Source organism: Homo sapiens, chromosome 4 (genome assembly GCF_000001405.40).
Source record: "Homo sapiens chromosome 4, GRCh38.p14 Primary Assembly".
Classification (NCBI taxonomy): domain Eukaryota; kingdom Metazoa; phylum Chordata; class Mammalia; order Primates; family Hominidae; genus Homo; species Homo sapiens.
Window position 1 is genome coordinate 89,981,891 of NC_000004.12, and position 22,603 is coordinate 90,004,493.

At 36.6% G+C, this 22,603-nt stretch overlaps 1 annotated feature.

The window, feature by feature from the left end:
* Nucleotides 13,992–18,012: an enhancer, noted in NCBI's record as "VISTA enhancer hs1374". NCBI's record gives its function as "enhancer in: neural tube[6/8] | hindbrain (rhombencephalon)[7/8]" and the evidence as "EXISTENCE:transgenic organism evidence [ECO:0001131][PMID:17130149]".

Genomic DNA, 22,603 nt, shown 5'->3' on the forward strand with positions numbered 1-22,603 from the left:
TGGACAGTTATGGGGATGTGATAATACCACTATCTTACCAAAGCAATTTGCCTTCTCTAGCCAATTGCTAGAGCAGCATTTTAAAAAGTGCTGACAACATACTTACACAATTGCCTCCAAAGTAACAACCTTAATGAGAAATTTCTATCTGTGTTTTGATCTTTCCATAGCATGATGGCTGCCCTCTTTCAGTGAATTGCACCAACTCATTTGCTCATGTATGCTGATAACACCATGCTGTCAATTCTGTATTGTTGGACCTGTCTATTTTATTTGACATACTTGATCATGAGTCCTCGCATTCTCATAGAGCATATGTCACTACTTTAAATAGGGCTTGTTTTTTGCTCATGCAGTATACATAGTACCTTATTGTTAATATTGCCAAGCATTTTCCCATTTGCCATTAAGACCCATGGAGTTTAATTCTTGAATTAAGATGTCTCTGGAATTCATGAATCTAAGTTATATTTTTCCTTCCAAGACCATCATTCTATAACAGTTTCAGTTGACATTGTTATGTTGTTGATAAATGAGTTTATTTTTCATCTCTCAAAAAGCAATTTAAAAATTAAGTACCTGAATGTCATTTGTAAAGTAAAATTGTGAGCATCCATCCATCATCTGAATGGTGCTTCATAATTCTTGCTTTCAAATGAGTTATGTTTATTCCATAGGTATAGGGATATTTTGATTCATATATTTAGTGATAGTGGGAAACTTCACTGCATCCTCCTGTTGAAAACATTTTTTTGGTACTTATTTGAAATGCTTACAAAAGTAACATCTGAGAATAATGTCATATTCAGCATCTTATATATGATAGCTATTTAAGAGACTATCAGGTATGCATTATTATCCCTATTTTACAGAGGAATTTACTGGGAGACTCATAAAAGTTACATTATCCACTAATCTGAACTAGATGTCAAAAGGAATATGTGAACCACGCCTGATACCAAACCTACACTTACTTACTATGCTACATTAACACATAACTCTCATTCAAATAGTTGTGCATGAATTCTAATTGGGTTTTGCACCTGAAGATTCATTATTTTAAGGTTGATGTCATTCAATATTCCAGCTTTTTAAAAAGTTATTTAAATTCATACAGCTGGCTGATCATGTGATTCAAAACAAGTCTTAACAATAATTTTTCAAGCCCTATCATAATAGAAAAAAGTTGATATTTTGTTTGATACTAAAATTAATAATTGGTCAGTGTAAAAAAAATTAAGAGAGTAAGAAGGTAACCTCCAAAGGGAAAGAGATATTCTGAATAAAATATGTATATCCAACAAAGGATTTATGTTTATAACATATAAAAAACTCTTACGAATCAATAAGAAAATATAGCTGAAAAGAAAAAGAGACATAAGTCCTCTACCAGGGATTTGACAAAAGAGGATATCCAAATAGACAATGAACATGTAAATGAATGCATAACATTGGGAAATGCAAAATTCAAGCACAGCGAAATATGAGTACATACCACTGAATTGCTGAAAATAAAATGCTTGAAAATAACAAGTATTGATAAGGGTGAAGAGAAATGAAATTAAGAACTTTCCTGAGTGCAGAAGTTAGATTCAAAGGCCCGGTGCAGTACCTCATGCCTGTAATCCTAGCACTTTGGGAGGCCGAAGCAGGTGGATTTCTTGAGCTCAGGAGTTCAAGACCAGCCTTGGAAACATGGCAAAACCCTGTCTCTACAAAAAAAAAAAAAAAAAAAAAAAAAAAAAAAAAATATATATATATATATATATATATATATATATATATATATATAAGCTGGGCATGGTGGCACATGCCTGTAGTCCCAGCTACTTATGGGGCTGAGGTGGGAGGATCACTTGAGCCCAAGAGGTCAAGGCTGCAGTGAGCTGAGATCACACCACTGCACTCCAGCCTGGGTGAAAAAGTGAGACCTAGTCTCAGCAACAACAAAAAAAGCAGTTAGATTCAAAATATAGTATTTGTCGACACTCATTTTTCAGAAAAGGTGTGGTGGGGCTGAATGCATTAATATTTGGAAAAGGTTCCTCAATCAGGAATCATATATGAGAGCTCCAAACAGTAGTAAGCATGTCCCAACTATTTTCAAGATATGCTAATATTATGTCTTTATTCTTTTCTGTGACAGCTTTGAGTGACTGTGGAATAATCAACTTGAATTTGAATGTTTTTCTCCTACATTTTATGATTTCTTATGTAAGGCTGATGTGACACTTGGAAAAGTTTGCAATGATGACTGACAAAAACAATTTTACCATATGAACATCTACTGTGCTTTGATTTTATCGTCTAAGGCAGGGTTTTTATTTTATTTTTATTTTTATTTTTTTTGAGATGGACTCCCTCTGTCACCCAGGCTGGAGTGCAATGGCGTGGTCTCGGCTCACTGCAACCTCCACCTCCTAGGTTCAGGCAATCCTCCTGCCTCAGACTCCCAAGTAGCTGGGACTACAGGCGTGTGCCACCACACCCAGCTAATTTGTGTATTTTTAGTAGAGACTGGGTTTCACCATGTTGGCCAGGCTGGTCTCGAACTCCTGACCTCATGATCCGCCCACCTGGGCCTCCCAAAGTGCTGGGATTACAGGCGTGAGCCACTGTGCCCGGCTGGGTTTTTAATTTTTTGTTTGTTTGTTTTTGGTTAGGAAGCATTTATGTGTAAAGTGTAAACAAATAAACGTTAAAAATGTGTACTAACCTGGTTGTAAAGGTGGTTTGGGAAACATGTAAACCCTGCTTGCTTTGCCTGCTTCCTCAGCAGGGATGATTTGAACCACATACCATTTAATTATATCTCTCCAGTTACTTGATGAAAAAAAAAAGTTTATCTGAATCACCAGTGCTCCTAGTGTTTTTGAGCACTTTCTTCAAAAGTAAAGTCCCTGGAACCCTCAGGAAAGTCATTCACAAATTCCCTTAAGAAACACTAATTGAAGACACTAAACTCTATAATAAAATGTATTAAATTATGAATTATCACTATAAATGAGAGGTTTTGTGAGTATAATTGTTAAAAGTAATTTTCAGTTATTAAAATAAAATCATAAAACTTAAAATTTGTTTTCAAATTTTTTATCTTCAATCTCTGTGATTCAAAAATCTCTAGCTAGCCTGTACAAAACCAGTGTCAGAGAACAAAAAAAAATGTCATCTTGCTTCTAATTTAATGCATGGTTTCTGCAGCAAGGAGACTGGCCTCTGGTTTCAGCCCTGTCTGTGATTGGGTATGCACCTGCATGAGTAACTTGAACTCTGCTTCATTTTCTCTTATCAAACATGACCAAGAGTCAAGTTAAATAATGTATAAAGACTTGTGGTAGGCCAAATAATACTCCCTAATAATATCCGACTCCTAATCCATGGAAACTGTGAAAGTCAAATCACATGGCAAAAAAGGACTTTGAAAATGTGATTAAGCTAAGGATTCTGGATGAAGAGATTATTCTGTATCATCCAAGTGGGACTTAAGTGGAATCACCAATTTTTTTTTTTTATAAAAAGGATATTTGATTCGGTAGAGACAAAGGCAATGTGCCATGGAGGAATGCAGCCACACGGAATGATGCAACCACAAGCCGAGGAACACCAGTAGCCACTAGAAGCCTGAAGAGGCAAGGAACGGATTCTCCCTGGAGCCTACCAAGGGATTATGGCCCTGCTGACACCTTGCTTTTGGCCAAGTGATACTATTATACTTTCAAACTGCAGACTTCCAGAACTGTGAGATAATAAATTTCTGTTGTTTTAGACCATCAAGTTTGCAGTAACTTGTTATAGCAGCTACAAGAAGCGAATAGAAGACCCTTCCAGCTTTAAAATTGTATGGGTGGCAAAACAAACTGAAGATGTAAAAATCAATAGGCATTTAGAATAACTTGCTTTTTACTAACTAAAATTCTAAAGTACAACTGAGCATTAAAAGTTCTGGGCTTCTTGACATCTGTGACTCTGATTGGTTGAGAGATTTGCTCTGATTTTTTTACTTAATGGGAATGCTTGTTACTTGAAAAAGAAAAGCAGTCATTTGCTACTAGTCTGTAACTCAGCTAATCTCTTCTTCTGATCCTCTTCTTTTGACTACTAATTTTTAGAAGTACTCAGAGATCAACCATGAGTATTATTCTTTTCTATTTTTACCCACTCAGTCTAGGTGATCATAGCTATTCCCGTGGCTTTAAATGCCTTCTGAATTCTGATAGCTCCCTGACTTACATACCTGAACTTCAGATTAATAAATCCAATTGCGAGATTCATAGTTTCTCTTCAATAACTAATGGCATCTGAAATTTAAATTGTGCATTAAAAAGACTCACTTTTCAACTTGCACACTTCTATCTGTGCTTTCTCCAGCATTTCCTGTTTTAATAAGTGGAGCCTCCATCTACCAAGTTGCTCCAAGCAAAATCTGAGAGTAATCCTCAATACTTCCTTTTCCACCACCGACCATGTTGGATTCATCATCTAATTTTGCATATTATGTCTCAAACATTTTCTATTTAATCACATCTCTCCATCTCTAGCGCTATCATTGTCTCTAGCCCGGACTCCTCCTAGGTGGTCCCCTACTTCTAATCTTGCCTGTTTCCAATTCATTCTCAACATGGAAGCCAGTTTGATATTTAGATAAGTTTACTTGCCTGCTTAAACACTCTAATTTTTAAATAAATAAAATCCATGCGTGACTTAGTCCCTTCCTCTTTCTCCAAACTCATCTCAAACTCTCCATCTTACCTCATACCTATTATAAACACTCAGGCCTTTCCTCCGTTCCTCTAAAACTTCATTTGTTTCCTGCCTCCAGGTCTTTAGACTGATATTTCCTTCTGCATGGAACACTCTCCCAAACCCAGCCCCAGCTATGCATGACTTTTCATTACTTTTTCAACTTAAATTTCACCTCCTTAGGTAAAATCTAAAATTTTCCTGATTCATTCAATGCAAAAAAAAAAAAATCCTCCCCAGCTAGTGTCTATCAGGGCACCCTTTCTGTTCCTCTCACAGCACACATTAGGACTTGTTGCTTCATTTTATTTATGTATTTATTACTTGACTGTATCCATTACTAGGCCATAAGTCCTATGGGAGGATGGGATCTCATTAGTCCTTTTTAATGTTTTGTTTTTATTATATTTTGCATTTTGTTAAAGTTTTACATGCATAGAAACTTTTGAAAGACAAATAAATGGTTCTGAAGGTCACGTTTGTATCCCTATTTCCTGAGATTTCAGTTTCAGGAATTATTTGGTCACCTGCTATTTAGGAGGAAGAGCAGTTAACTTTCTTCCCCCAAGCCCCATGGACATACACCCTTGCCACCACCAAACTTACCAATGTAGCTAGATCAGATGTTGGATTAGATTAATATTTTATGTTTACATTAGGACGATTATGCAAATGTTAGTCACAGATGAGTTTTCTCTGGAGCTAATTATCATGCTTTCATTTGCTTGTTTTCTTAGTTTTCTCTGTACTCACCGCTAATTCAATTCTAAACCCTTTGCCGATTGTCTAAATCTTCGAAATGATCAGACACATGAATCATTCTATGAATTTCTTTTTTTTTGAAGAAATATCTCTCCTCTCTGGCTCCAATCTGGGTTCATTGCCCTCTAGGCCTGGTGAACAGTTGTCATATGGAGACTCTTCTTACTCCCATAGTGAAGATTCCCTTATGTCTCTGCAAACGGAAGCTATTCCATGTTTTCTTCTTTCTTGTTTTAGTCCCTCATTTTAATGGGACATAATTCTTTGCTATCCTGCATGACTGAGATACTTTAATTCTTTCCTTGTCCTTGATTGAATATGGATTGATTTCAAATCCTCAATTTAAAATCAATTTCTTTCAGCAATCTCAGCACATCGCTCCGTGACTTTGTCAGTTTCTTACATGGTTATAGAGAAATTCAAAGTAATTTTGACCCATCTTTTGTTAATATCCCTTTTGTTTTTTCCCTCTCTCTGAAAGTTTACAGAAATTTCTCTTTGTCCGCAATGTTCTGGATTTTCACAGGTTCTGAATGTGCCTACAGATAGGTTTATTTGTATCCATTAATTTGAACACTCAATGAAAAAAGGGAAGGATGAGAGTAGGAGAAGATATATTTGTAACTGAGGTGGCAAAATTGAGGTAACTTCTGGTGAATTTTATTTTTCTAATGAGGTAAAGTCATCTACTAAGGGCCAAAAGAATTTTTGAAAAAGTTGTTCAGGTCTATTGAGGAGACTGAGAGATTGCTTATTAGGCAATTTTATTCTAATTCTTCATTAAACAAATGGAACTCATTGATTTCTTCTTGCTCAATAACATCTTTTTCTTTCAGATAGAAGAATTCCCTTTAGCATTTCTTGTAGAACAGTTCTGGTGTTAATGAAATTCTTCAGCTCTTGTTTGTCTGGGAAGGTCTTTATTTCTCTTTCATGGTTGAGAGATATTTTCAGCGACTATACTATTTTAGGGTAATTTTTGTTTTCCTTCAGCACCTTAAATATGTTACGTAACTCTTTCCTGGCTTGTAGGCTTCCACTGAAAAATCTCCTGCTAGATGTATTGGAGCTCCATTGTATGTTATTTGTTTCATTTCTCTTGCTGCTTTTAGGATCCTTGCTTCATCCTTGACCTTTTGGAGTTTATTAGATGTCTTGAGGTAGTGTTCTTTGGCCTAAATCTGCTTGGTTTTCTATGACCTTTATGTACTTGAATGTAGACATTTTTCTCTAGGTTTCAGAAGTCCTTTGATATCACTCCTTTGAATATACATTCTACCCTGATCTTGTTGTCTACCTTCTCTTTAAGGCCAGCAGCTCAGATTTGCCCCTGTGTGGCTATTTTCTAGATCTTACAGGTGTGCTTCATTGTTTTTTATTCTTTTTTCTTTTGTATCCTTTGACTGTGTCTTTTCATACAGTCTGTCTTCAAGCTTACTCATTCTTTCTTCCACTTGATCAGTTCTGTTATTAAGTGATTCTGACGCACTCTTCATTATGTCAATTGCATTTCTCAACTCTAGAATTTCTGTTTGATTCTTTTTAATTATTTCAATTTCTGTGTTAAGTTGATCTAATTTTGAATTCCTTCTCTGTTTTAGCTTGAATTTCTTTGAGTTTCCTCAAAACAGCTATTTTGAATTCTCTGTCTGAAAGGTCACATGGCTCTGTTTCTCCAGGATTGGTCCCTGGTGACCTACTTAGTTCATTTGGTCAGGTCATGTTTTCCTCGGTGGTCTTGATGCTTGCGGATGTTCATTGGTGTCTGGGGATTGAAGAGTTAGGTATTTATTGTAGTATTTGCAGTCTGGGCTTATTTGTGCCATCTTAGTTGAGAAGGCTTTCCAGGTATTTGAAGGGACTTGGGACCGAAGCCTAATATCGCTGTGTTTTTTGTAGACTCATAGAGGTACAGCCTTGGTGGTCTTGGATAAGATCCAGAAGAATTTTCTGGATTACCAGGCAGAGACTCTTGTTCTTTTCCCTTATGTTTTCCCAAACAGAGTCTCTCTCCATGCTTAGCCAATGAAACTGGGGTGTGGTGATACAAGTACTCCTGTGGCCTGACATCTATACATTTAAGGTATAGTGAAATTAAACATGGACAGATCTGATTTAGGCATCATTCAGTAATGGATAATCCTTGCCTGTTCTTCCCACATGTATATCATTTTATAAGTTACAGATTTTATAGATTTTTTTTTTTTTACAGATCACAAATATAATTTAGGCCCACAAGTTCAGCTACATTTCCTAAAGTCAACAGAAGAATGTTGGTAACCACTGATAAAACATAAAATAATTAAGATATTATAATTTACTAAATAGAGTGAGTGTTTTACAACAAATTCAAATAATATGCAAGTATAGTTACAATGAAGTTCTTGTTAATTACCAATACTTTCTTAATTAGCCATGGAAAATACCTCAGTCCAACTGACCAACCGTTCTTTTTTTTTTGAGACGGAGTCTCGCTCTGTCGCCCAGGCTGGAGTGCAGTGGTGCAATCTACGCTCACTGCAAGCTCCGCCTCCCGGGCTCACGCCATTCTCCTGCCTCAGCCTCCCGAGTAGCTGGGACTACAGGCGCCCGCCACCACGCCCAGAGAATTTTTTGTATTTTTAGTGGAGACGGGGTTTCACTGTGTTAGCCAGGATGGTCTCGATCTCCTGACCTTGTGATCCACCCACCTTGGCCTCCCAAAGTGCTGGGATTACAGGCGTGAGCCACCGCACCCGGCCTGACCAACAGTTCTATAAATATTTTTTGTTCTTTCATCTTCTGTTTTTCCATTTCATGATCATTATATTCTACATAGGAATTTGCTAAAGCAAAATTTCCTTTTATCAGAATTGATGAGAAAATTTCAAAATTTCTCAGCAATTTAGAAACGATGGATCTTTAATGAGAAAATTTGAGTTTGAATCCTAGTTCTGTGTCCTTCTGAATGATGTAGCCCTTGTTGTCCTAGGGCTCTGCAATGCAAAATGGGACTATCTTTCAGAGCTGTATGAGGATTTGAGATACCTTGCATAGGGCTGGGTGCAGAGTAGTTACCTATAAATGACGGATTATTTTTTCATTTTTTCCCTTTAATTATTCTAGGTTTAATCATAAAACTACAATGATTTTCTTTATCAAACAGATTTTATTAATCTCATTTTCATTGCTCTAGTCCTTTAATAAGTTGTTGACACAAACATCCATACCAGAAAAGAAATTGTAAACTAAGGGCCTGTCAGATATGTACACACAATTGACAAATTCTGTGAATATGTTTGCCACAAAATGCCTTCTACCACAGCTGAAGTAGAGTTTGCATCAGCACCCCTAACATTCATGGGAAAAGAAAATCTAGACTGAATGTGGCCTTGAACACAACTAATAAGAAAAATGTCCTGTCGTCTATCATATTTAGTTCATCTTTGCTATCTCAACTGCAGATGAGCTCCAAAGCTGTTCCTTTTTTAAATTCTGTATTAATAGTATTTCATTGCTTAACTACTTCAGTTCACAAGCATAACCTGGAGTTTCCTCACCCCTTGAAATCTATTAAGATAAATGTAAACCCCATTCTGTGCCCGTGTATAAATAAGAACATTTGCTAAGGTTTATGAAAATTGTCAAAGGTTTACGTTCAAATGGCCAAATTCTGGTTCCAGATTCCTTGTAAACATGCTACACAACCCATTCATGAATCTGAAGCTTATACTTAGTTTCTGCTAAAATTACATCATTCATGTAAGATGCTGGATGAAGAAGATCTATAAAGACTTCTGTGGGGGTGGTTGAGTTGAAAAAGATTTACACTGAAGCAACACCAACAACTTCCACTCAGACACTGACAACCATGTTCTTTAAAATCCTTTTGGCTCCCATGCTATTTGGGGCTTTTCTCTTGCACTTAGTTCCACAGATTGCCAATCCTTCAACCATCATACTCGGTACTTCCCATCCCCACCCCATTTTCTTGAGTCTTTTTTTTTTACCTCTAATTCAATCCCTTGAATTGCGTTAGTTTACTAAAGAAGACTTTTCATATCTTATGTCATAATATCTTCATGTCTTGCATCACAGTGTGATCTAAAGTTCTTAGTCAGCAAAGGTCATTAAATTCCCTAGAAACTGTTAGTCTTGCTTTCCGTGTTAAAAGGCACATTTGAACAAGTTTGGTCTTTGCAGCGGGCATTATGATGTGTCACTGAGCTCCCCTTTCAGGACTGATCAACCTTTTCCCTGGGTAGTTATAATATTGTTGCTGTGAGCCCTCAGCTACTGGCCTTCTTCAGAAATTGGCTCAGGTGGAGATAGTCTCCTTGCCCAAGTTCATGCTCCCATTCTAGGAGCAGTACACAACTAATGACTGATCGATGTGGAGGTATAAAGATCTTGGTTCCTTGCTTAAACTCAGAAACTTTGACAGCCATATCAGTCTCAGAGCTCCCTGTGGGATCAGCTGACTGAGCTGAGGTCCTTGTTTAACTATGTCGTGGCTTAACCTCTCCCTCTCCTCCATCCTGGTTTCCTCCTACTGTAATCTAAATGTTTGTATCCCCCCAAAATTCATACGTTGAAATCCTATCCTTCAATGCAAAGGGATTAGGAGATGGGGGTCTTTGATAGGTGATTAGACCATGAGGGCTCTGCCACCCTTATAAAAGAAATTCTGGAGAGCTCCCTCCTCTTTTCCACCAAGTGAAGACACAGTGAGAAGACAGCTGCTATGAACGAGGAAGCAGACCTTCACCAGAACCTGATCATGCTGACACTCTGATCTCAGACTTCCAGCCTCCAGAGCTACGAGAAATAAATTTCTTTGTTTAGAAGCCAACAACTCTAAGGTATTCTGTTACAGAAGCCTGAATGGACCTAGATGTTTCCTTTTCTTTCCATAGTCGTTAATCCAGACACTACTTTCTAACAAATAAAAGGATCTTATCTCAGAGTCTGCTTCCCAGCTGCAACAGTCCTTTGGTAGTTAGGAATATGCAATAAGTAGGATAAAGATGTTTGAGATGGAAGGAGGAAATAAAGAGTGTGGAGAGACATAAAAGACAATAAGAGGCTAAGAAAAGCAGTGCAGATGGAAGTAACCAGGAGTTTCAACACTTAAGAGTGAAAATTTCAGTCGTGGCATCTTGGTAGAATCAGTCTGAAAACATTATAGGACAGTGAGTAGCAACTGATGGAGATACAAGAGTAAGAAAGGAAATGATTCAAATAGGAAAGTTTTATTGCACTATAGAAATATCTCTATTGTAGTCAAAATAGCATAGTAGATTTATCTTTGTGTTTCCAGCAGTTTTGAGGTATATAATGTATACTTCCTTGAGACATGATTTTCGGTTTATTCATTAGAAATCCAAAGATTTTTACATCTTATCTAACTATAGAAGCAGAGGATAAATGCCTGATTATAAAAATCAGGATTATTATAGCAACCTATTTGAAAAACAATTCTCAAGTGACATAGGCTGCAAAAACCATTGAAAGATATTTCCTTGGCTTTGGTCACGGTAGATTCACATCTGGCATTTGGTCAATCACTCATTAAATATTAACTAGCTTTATTTATGCAATTTCAAGGCTCCTTTTACCCTTTGAAAGGTTTCAAATGTGCATGTAACAGTTGATGACATATTAACTATTTAAGTAAAAGACACTTGAAAACAGCAAGTACAAAAAATCACTTTGACCTTCATGTTGTTTTTTAAAAGCAAAGGATGAGATTCCCATGTGAAAGACATGAAAGACCCTCTTGATATGAGAAAGAAGCAACATCTTTATTTTTCAGGAAGAGAAGTCAAAAGCAAGAGAATTTTGTACAGACTTTGTTGAGATGTCTCTTATCTTTTAAGCATCCCACATAACTTAGCTGTTTCTTCATAACTTACTATTCTCTGTCCAATCCAATATATAAGTAACTGACTCAAACTGCTCTTCAGGTCTTCATTTTTTTTATGAGGGCTTTCATGCCACATAAAACTTATATTATGCTTTTCTCTTGTTAATTTTATGTTATGTCAATTCAATTCTCAGACTTAGTCAGAATTCTAAGAGGATGGAGGTAGAGTTTTTAACCCCTACATCTTTTAATGGAAAAAATGGAAGGAAAGGGAATCTTCAAAGGATAATTAGGTTCTTTCTCACTGATCTGGAGATTGCTTATCCAATTAACGCAAATTTCTTCTCTTTTCATTTCTCTTCACTTTAAGCATGAAATATAATAGAAATAGTGAACTAACTACAAAGAAAAGCTTTTTTGTTCTCAGCATGAAATTTCCTTCCAAATAGAATTATCCAGTTAATTTATATTAATATAAACAAGAAATCCGTACAACATTTAACATTTCCTGAGTCTGTAACTTCAGTTATTTAAAATATATAAAATAATTTTCAAAAAGCTTAACTCTAAAACTGAAGACTTTTGTATACAGAAAGCTATGCGTATGTCTAGTTATAGCTAAAACATGCTGCACAGATTTGGCAACTAAATGTGCCAAAGGTTTGAAAATATTCAATGACAATGCAAAAATTAAAAATATTATTAACTTTGAGAATAATAACATGCCTCAATGAAGTAATATAATTCTTTTTTTTTCAATACACATCTGAGCCTCTGTTGCATGCTAAGCATTTGTCCAAAGGGTTTCAGAGGTAAATGTGACTCCCTACCTAACCAACAAGAACTCACTTTCTAGTGAGGTAACTAATGACAAGTTAGCTATGTAATACAGTGATAAAAGTACCATCATAGGGAAAGTAGGAAGGACCTAATTCATCCTGAGGAATGGGGCACAATCAAAGAACACTTTTTTATGGAGTCTAAAAGGATGAGTCAGCCATACACCTCAAGGTGGGTGGTGAAATGAATGAATAAGACCCGGATAGGGAAAAGGAGGGAGATATACAAAACTGGAAGCTTTGAGGGATCCTGGCACATGAAAATGGCGAATGTTTCTATGTCATTGGACAAAAAGCTGTGTGTGTATAAGTAAGTATGTGTGTGTGTGTGTGTGTGTGTGTGTATACAGGGCAGCTACAGGGGAAGGAAAACAATTTTTTCTTTAACTCATAAATTCTTAGTTGGAAGGAATCTCTGTAATGAAAGACAGATAAACAAGAAAAAAGCAAGGAGAAGTTTATTTACAAGTATATTTCATATATACATGGGAGATAACGAGAGAATGAGTAATTTTCCAACAAGTGGTTTTGAATTCCAGCTTATATAGCATTGTCAACAAAGAACAGTGGATTTTTAGAGAAGTGAAAGACAAAGCAAAAGGACTTTGAGTCTCCAGGGATTGCAACTTGTGGGGAAAGACAAATAAATGGCAGATAAAGGCTATTAGTAAAGCTTGTTAATACAGATTCCTCTGGTGCCATTGCCAGGTCCATAGTGGTCAAAAGTTGTCTGTAGTTATTAACCTTGTTTTTCCCTGGTAGGGATACCTTTTGTCTTTGTAAATCTATATCCTGCTTTTAGGTAAATAGAGGGAGGGCAGAGAACGTTCTTGCACCTACTTTTAATTGCCTTCAGTTCAATAGTCTTTCATTTTTTGGTGTGGCATAGTCTGTTATCCCACAGCAGCTGATGAGTTCGAATATGCAATAGTATGACACTAATGAAGGGTCTTATATGCTCTGTTAAGAATTTTAACTTTATCTTGAATTCCATGCGGATTCAATGAAAGGTATTTCAAGAATCAGTTACTCAGGAAAAGAAGTAGTTTGAACTTTTAGAAACTGTTTGAGGTTAATCTTTTCCAGACTAATGAATATGAGTTAGTATAGGGGTGTGTCCTACTAATTATTCTGGTGGCCATGGTTACACACAACACAGAAGACCAGATCTCCTTAGCCTACACCAGAGATTCTCATGTGAGAATTGCCCGAATATCTGCTTTAATGAATCCAAAAAGGTCTCTGTCTCTGAGTCCCAGCTACTTGGGAGGCTGAGGTGGGCGGATCACTTGAGCCCGGGAGGTTGAGGCTGCCATTATTGTGCCACAGCACTCCAGCCTGGGTGACAGAGTGAGACCCTGTCTCACACAAACACACACACAAGTCTTTGAATATGGGCATTTTAAAAAAAACTCTAGGCGATGTTAGTGGGCAGTAAAAATGAAAGCTTCTAACTTGCTTTTGGTCATAGAAGGAAAAATAAAATATTGGGAGGTTTATAAAGAATGGAAAAAACATCAAATTGCAGTGTTCAAGTATTTAAGATGTTTGTATCCCCTCAGAGTCTAATGCTTACTAAATGTTTAAGGGGTTTAGAGAAAATGAATGCATTTTCAAAGAAGGTTTATGAGCTAAAGTACAACAGTTAAAGTTGGAGATGTAGTCTGTCAGTCTCCCAAGACACTCTAAGCACAGGATTCTTCAAACGTTCTATTTTTACATATATGTGCCTTTGTTCTCTAGAATAACATTTTTTAGACTACTCATATGGAAACATCTTAACTGTGTCTTGAAGCTGTATTGCTGGGTCTTTCTCAGCACCAACTTCACTTCACTTCCAGGAAAGAATAGATTGTTCCCTTTGTTTGGCCTTTCTAGCACATTTTTATTACTCTGATAAAGCACTAACCACATTGGGTCGGCTTTTTTTGCTGGACTGTGGACTCCATACAGAGTAACTCACCTAGATTCCCCTTGTAGTGTCTAACAGCAAATGTTTGAAAGTTGCAGGTTATGTATGCAAGGATGCGTAATGGGAAGGTGAGTGAGCAGAGATCAAAGAGGATAAAGGTTATTTAAGAAATGTTTTGCTTGACTAAAAGAATAAACAGAGGGTTGAAACAAAAGGAGCACTGATTTTTATACAATATTGATATGGAGGAAGCTCATCACACTTTTCTATCTGTGATATTGATTTAGACTGGTCCTGGATGGAGTGAGAAAGTATATCGGCCCCATAATCCTGCTTTTCATTTGCAAAAAAGTTGTGTGGAGTACCTGGGTAAACAGGTCCTCATGGAAATTCTCAAAGCTATTTGTGATCTAGATAATTACTTGGTGGAACTCAGAATGATTCACATACACTACTAATATTTTGTGGCTTCTACTGAGTCAGAAGTTTTTTTTCTTCTAACAATTTTTTCTTTTTCCTTTTTGACATCAGACATTGGGAATCACAGACAAGCAAGAAAGGGAAAACTCAAATACGTCTTGTACTGCTTTGGATAGGAATAACAAAAGACAAAAACAAAACAATACCACTATTTTTGGTATATTGTTCCATTTATATGCCTGAAAATATATGTTCAGACTTGGTTTCTAATCACATCCATGGAAGTAGGGCCCATCATGTCATATCCACACCTATTGATGTGGATAATTTGGGTAAGCTTGTTTTCAGCATTGTCTTTGATTTTTAAAATATAATTTCTTGCTGGAACTACAAGTATCAAATCAAATCTATTCTTTCTTTTTCCCTAATATATGTTCTGATTATGTTAGGCAAGAAGTAAGACTAGTCTATCTTCTTTACGATATCAGCACCTCTATCATTTGAAGATGATTTTTGAAATGATACAAAATCTGCATGCTATGCTGTTTGTAATGTGCTAGAGGTGAACAAGCCTCTGGGTTATAAAATATTTGCTTAAAATGGAAGACTTACAAACCGGATGCTTGCGATTCAAAATACACAAACCTAAGATGTAGGATATTATTAAACCTAAGTCTTCAGATTTCATTTTCTATAAAGTCACAGTATTATTAAGGATTAAGTAAAATTGAATAAAAGGTTGGCTTTCTTTTTTGTTCCTCTTTCCAGCTTATCTGATTTAAAAATGAAGTTAAGATGTCAAAGCCACTGTTGGAATAGCATGAGGAGTGCGATTTGATTCTGTGCATCGATAGACTCTGCAACCACGGAGTAGTCTTTTAACCTTTTTGAAATTCGCATGCACTATGTCAAAAAGGGCTTTATTACCAGGTTAATAAGATCATGTCTGTAGAGTATTTTAAGCTCTTTTATTCTGAGAATGATAAGCAAATGTGAGGTTTTATTATCATTATCATTATCATTGGCTTCAAAGGGAATTTGGTTTTCATAGCTCAGTGGGGTGAAAAGAAAGATAAGAACCTGGCTGGTGGTGTTCAAATAAATGTCAGGGTTAAGAACTCAAGGAGAAGCTGAGAAGAGACAGAGGAAGAAAAACCTTGTTTCATTGGTACATTAGTTGAGAGCCAGCTGGAGCAAGATTGAATCTTAAATAAACTATCAGGGCAAAATATACATACTACACAATCATACTCTCTGTCTCTCTCTCTCTCCCACCCACACATATACATGCACAAACACGATCTTTTAAATTCATTTCTCTATTATTCGATCTAATATATTACTCATTCCTCAGTGTTAAATTCAAAAGATAAGGATAAGCAAAATTACTGTAATTGTATTTCTGACTGCTTCTCTTAATGGATGTGTTAATGGAATTTCCTTACATGTTTAATGTTGCATATATTAATGAAAAATATAGCAGACCACTTCTGTTAGATTAGACCAAAACAGCTATTTAGCCCTAAGAAGTAACGTAAGTAATTTCCCAGTTTGAAAAGGATGGTAATATTGAGAGGAAAAACCTTAACATTTTATGGTGGTTGTAATCCTATTGTGAAATCAAAAGTGACATTTTAACATAATTTAACATTTGCATTTTTTTAGCTCAGCTGAGAGCCAAAAAAAAAACAACAACTGCTTCATATATCTAATACTGCTCATTGAAATGTAAATCACAGTAAATGACCCGTATAGGAATAAATGGACAAACAGCAGAATAAATGGACAAACAGCAGAATAAATAAAAATGTATTACCTTTATACAGCCGTTTGTCTTCTGATAGCATGAGTAAAGCTTAAGTCAGATACAATTAAATGGACTGAAGCTTTAACAATGACTTTTGAACTGCTTGATTTAACAAACTCAATCCTCATAAATTAAACTATCAGTGATCTATGATACAATTAAGTTCCATAATCAAAAAATGCTACAGTGCATGCAGTGTCACTTGCACTATTCCTAACGCTGAATTTTAACTACTCCTGGCTACCTCTTCCTGCAGGGTTGTGTAAAACTCCATCTGGCACACTAGACACTAACATTATGATACATGGTTTCTTTTCTATTCTTCAATTTAGGCTGACATCTGGTGGTCCAGGGGAACAACAAGCAATGCCTCCGAATGTAAACCGATTCACAAATGCGGCTTTTTTTCCCAGTTTTCCCTTTGTCTTTTTGAAGTGCTTGAAATTGCCACCAAACCAGTTAATTACATGGAAATTCACATAGAATAACAATTTAAACAGCAGAACAATAAGGGTGAAGAAAGTGACCTTCACGTGATGAATTATATACATGTAAGTATATTGAACTCAGCGGTGACTACAAAGCATCAATAGAAAGCACCATATATTGGCCAATTAGACTCACTCAGAAAGGGTACTATTTAATGGCACCACACTGGGGATCATAATGGGAATGTGGTACATGTAAGATTTCCTTCTTTTTTTCTCCCTGTCAAGATAGTTGGAGGGAAGGAAATGAAGGGAATGAGGGGGAGGGGTAGAGGGAGCTACTGTGTATAGTGAGAAATTGACGTTTAAACAGGCATGAGGTAGTATTCAAAAGCATTTATCTTTTATTTTTCTTTGGGAAGAAGCAGACACTTCCAGCAGTTAGCAGCAGTCCAGATGGCAAACACAGTGGGCAGAAGCAGGAACAATTCAACTCTCCCCATGCTTGGGATTTAAAAAAACAACAACAAAAAAACCTCTCAAACACCTCCAATTAATTTACTATGGTATATGCCACTAATTACCAAATCACAGAGGAACAGAGTGATACACTGTCAGCCTTATGATGTTCATGTTATTTGTACAATTTATCCGTACAGAAAAAGGAAAAAGCACCTCTGATTTTTCTCACATTCATCACTTAGCTACACCATTCTATAATATTTTGACCAATGAAGAGTCTTAATAAATGGGCATTTTGTGTTCATTTTTTGTTTTTTCATATCTTTTGCAATGATTGGAAATAGCATAAGAAATACATGTAATGCTTAGATTGACTTTGATCTATATTTATGAAAGGTTCTGTACTGACAGAATTATGGGTAAAGTTCCCCATTGTGGGAAACACACACACACACACACACACACACACACACACACACACAAAGACGAAACAAAAAAAACAAACAAGCAAACAAAGTCTTTAACCTTGTCCAACAAAGACCGTTCTGAATGTTTGGGCTGGTCTCTGTTTCCACTTCACCTTGTGACTCTGAAAAGGTTATTGGAAGGAGTGCCAATTATGTTGGTGCTTTTGAAATATGGCCAAATCCTCTAGGAGGTGGACTCAAGCTGCCAATACCTAATCTCATAAAGGTCACTCAAAAGTTCAAATGAAATTGCTTTTAGTTACTATAAAACTTACCTGAGTTGAAATGATTTTACTAAAGGAAAAATATTTCCACCTGCTCTTACCAGTCCTTTCTTCTTAGAGTTTAATCATTAGCCATAAGTTTCTCAAGAAAGAGGAATTATTTTAAATAAACTTAACAACTATCATATAAACTTTTAAAGAAGGAGAAGAATGAATATATGTTCTGTAAGAAAATTACATGCCCAGAATGTCTACAACAAGCCATCCACAAGAAAGGTAGTGGCATTCTGCTAGACTTCATGTGACTATTATATTTATTAAGGAATAAGGCAGAGGAAAAATTGTACTGTGATTTTAGAAGTACTCAAAAAGTCTTTCTCTCACAAACATCTTACATTGATTGTTAATGAATAGCTCTCAAAATTATACATTAGTTCTCTTGGCTTTGGGCTTTGTGGCCTCCCAGCATATAAATATTTTTCCAAGCAATAACTTTTAGAATTATGAGTTTCATTTTTATGAGTCTTTTTTTTTCCCCCCCGAGACAGAGTCCCGCTTTGTCACCCAGGCTGCAGTGCAGTGGTGTGATCTTGGCTCACTGCAACCTCCACTCCCAGGGTCAAGTGATTCTCCTGTCTCAGCCTCCCAAGTAGCTGGGACTACAGGCATGCACCACCATGCCAGCCTAATTTTTGTATTTTTAGTAGAGACAGGGTTTCACTATGTTGGCCAGGCTGGTCTTGAACTCCTGACCTCGTGATCCACCTGCCTCGTCCTCCCAAAGTGCTGGGACTACAGGCTTGAGCCACTGTGCCCGGCCACAAGTTAATCTTTATTTTCGAGATGGAGACTTGCACTCTTACCCAGGCTGGAGTGCAATGGTGTGATCTTGGCTCACTGCAACCTCTGCCTTCTAGGTCCAACCCATTCTCCTGTCTCAGCCTCCTGAATAGCTGGCGTGCCACCATACCTGGCTAATTTTTTGTATTTTTGGTAGAGACGCGGTTTCACTGTGTTAGCCAGGATGGCCTTAATCTCCTGACCTCATGATCCACCCACCTTGGCCTCCCAAAGTGTTGGGATTACAGGTGTGAGCCACTGCGCCCCGCCTCGTGAGTCAATTTTTTTAGGAATTTTATTTCATATATGTAACATCTATTTCTTCTAGCTATCCTGATCTTGGTATAAAATGGTGGCATGTTAAGAATAATTAAAACTATTTCTTTGCAAACTATTAATATAGTATTTTTATCTTTTTTAAAGATTTTGCCACATATTAGGCAGAGTCCTAAAAGAAAAGCATGTTGTATGTAATTGTGTAAGTCCCCTATTCTGAGATCTCCATTTCTGAGTAACTCACATAAAACTTCCCCATCAGTTCTACCAGTACCACTTCCCACTGCCGCTTCTACTACCATCACTATCACCACTGCTCCTTGGCTGCTGCTGCTGACGTGGCTGGTGCCAACAAAACCACAAATTATAGCCCTAGACCTCCTGTCAAGAACACTTGATGGTTTGGTTTTGGCATTGAAGCACAAAGGCAAAATGCCTCTTTCAGATTCAGACTGAGATTTCCTTCCTTCCTCTCCATGTTCCTTCCTTTCTTCCTTCCTTTCCTCATCCTTTCTTTTCCTTTCTTTCTTCTTTATCAAGAAAACTGTAGCTCAGATAACATGTGTAGACATTAAGCTACTGACATAGGATGAAAATACAGTTACCACGGAATTTTGCGATATGGTACCAAGCTTTTAAAAAATATAGAACACACTCAGAAGGAAGCAGAGTTCTATAAAAGATTGAACACCGAGCCAAGAATGAATCTTTTCCTTTCTAGGAGAGTGGAGCTAGATTATTTTTAAATACTTGGATTTCTTAATTGGTGCTAGTTTTTGTTGGGTGATACCCTGCTAATCCTATTCTAGAATCTAGAACTATACGGACCCATTTTTGAAGCTTATAAACAGGCAATAGCACAATAAAATACACAGTAGGCAAAATGTGGAAATAAAATATAATAATATACAGTTATGTTTACATATATGAATTATATTAGTGTCCTTCTTATTTTTCTCAAGTCTTATACGAACCATGGTTTACAGATGGTACCAGTAGTAGAATACTGGGAAAGGAAAGGGAGAGAGGGAATCACTGAATCTAGTACAGGCTTTATTTTTTCACATTGTTCCCCCAAATCCTCTTGAGATTATGGGAAGGAGAAGACAATATAACCAGTTTTATTCAATAGAACTATTGTTGAAATAGCTTCATTACTTTCTACAATAAGATACGGAAGTCTTGTTCATACTACATGTATATCACTTTGCTGTAGATAAAAAAAGTAATAAAAATATAACTAGTAATATGAAATATGTTAATGCAAAGTAGGAGATTTATTGTGGATAATACATTTTAAGTTAGATTTTATGTGAAAACACAGGGAATGTGTTTAAACATTAAAGAGCATCTATAATTTGTACATTTATTACTGTATTGAATGCTATTATTTTAAAATACCTATCTTTTTTATGCAACAGGGCCCTTTAACAAACAAAATTCAGTCTGGTATTAATGCATAGGTATTAGGGATCCATTTCAGCAATCTTCGGGGACTTTCTGTAGCTCTAGCAATTGCACCTACTATATGTTTTCAATTTTAAAATATTGTAAGGGGATCCTGATTTGGGGCCAAGGCTACTGTGCCAGTCTATGTCTGGATGTCATGCACCCACGGTGGTTCATCATAGCAAGCAGGTTCCATTTCCAGATGGTTAGCTTGAGTAGACGAGGAGATTAGATGTCTCTGTTGTCAGACAGCCAAGAATTCCTGGGATGGTCCAATATTTGCATTCCAAAAAAGCAATAGCTGGATGAAGGCGGCTCTCATAGCTGCTGAAATTTCCTTTGTACAAAGGGAGCAATTGCTCTCCTTTGTTGAGAGAGGCTGGGTTTTTTGTTATTGTTGCTTTATTTTTTTACCTGCATAGTCACAGCCAAGATCAAAATGGTTTGCATTTGTTTATCTCCTTTGAGAGCCAGTGCTTTTTTCTGCCCAGCTGTCTGTAGTTCCAGAAGCCATTATGCAGGAAGTGACAAAAGCCAAGTCGTAGTTTCCTCAATTCATTCCTCAATAACTTTTCCTTCTATTCTTTCTCATTCCTACATGTCCACATGGCCTCATTACAGGAGCGAGAACTCAGAAAGTGAGTCAGACAAAGGCAGATTGAGGTTTCCCAAATGTAGCAGCTGAACAGCAGCAATTAAGCTTGCCTTAAATGTAAGTGGCACAGTTTGAAAAACATAAGTGATTTACTTTCTTTCCTTTCTCATGTATGTGACCTGGAATTTTCATATCTCTGGAACTTATCTCCAGGTACTGATAAAAAGATGACTAAGAAATTATCCCACCAATACTATCTGATGAGACAATGCTTCAATAGAAGTATACAAGGTACTAAAAATGGAAAAGGATGTACCCGCCTAGGCAAGAGAAGGGAACCAATGGACGTGAGATTTGAGGAATAAGTGTCTGTAGCAGGTGGAGAAAGCAGCACAGTGTTTCAGAAGAATGAGTGAAACAGCACAACCTGAGGAAGTAGTGGGAGAAGAATCCAGAGTGGCAGGCAAAGACAGAATCTGGGGTCTGGGTATGATTGCGTATATAATTGAAGCTATATTCTAGAGCTTTGAGAAACTGCTGATAGATTGTAAGCAAGCAAATAGTATGATCAGATTTTCAGTAACTCGGAAGATGAGTTTAAATGCTGAGGATTGAGAAACAGGATTGATGCAAAGAGCTGGTTGAGATGGAGAAAGGCTGGTAAGAGTGGAATAGAAAGGCCACAGATGTGAAGGATCTAGGGATGAATATACACATGTTTAGGGGTGAGATTTTCTTTTGAAGAACATCCATGAACATAGTACCAGATATATGTATTGTATCTGTTACATATCAAATTGTAGAAATTGAAGAAATATTGCACCAGACAAGTAAGTTCAAGAGTCAGAATAGGAATGTAGGACTTGCTCAAGGAAGAGAAGGGATATTTGAGGTAAGCCTGTGGAAACAGAGCAGTAAGAGGGCATCAAATATACTGCAGTGTGCAGAGAAACTCAAGTGTGAAGGGTATTTACTTCCCAGTTGCTCAGTTGCATTGCTGTGCTAACAATTTATCAGATGATAGCAGCTACCTTTCCATTATTTAAGTTTTAATGTTAACTGTAGTAGTCCTTGATTCACTTTATTGTGGCTCTTTTATGACAATTGAGAAAATGAAAGTAGTTCTTATTAAGGCCTTTTTTGTCCACTAAAATTGAGTGACTAGCATTATTCTGGAGGTTTATAAAGACAGCATCAATAGTCTTAATTTTGTTTTTCTTGAGTATTTAGCCAATGAATAATTTTAATTATAATTTTCATAAAAAATACACAGATAAATTATTGATGAGAATGCAAAATGCACATAAAACATAGGACTTGGAATTAATCTAATGTGAGAGGTCAGTTCTCATATGTTTATCCTTCTCTATGTGAGATACATCAGTGAAGTATTTTGAATATACTGCATTAAGACATTTTTAAAATAATAAATGGTCTTTAGTTTCTAACTGAAAATGAAAATATTTGGATGTATTCATGGCTGATCAAAAGAGTGAAAGGAGTAAATAATGTGCTATTTTTTGTCTTATTCCAGTAT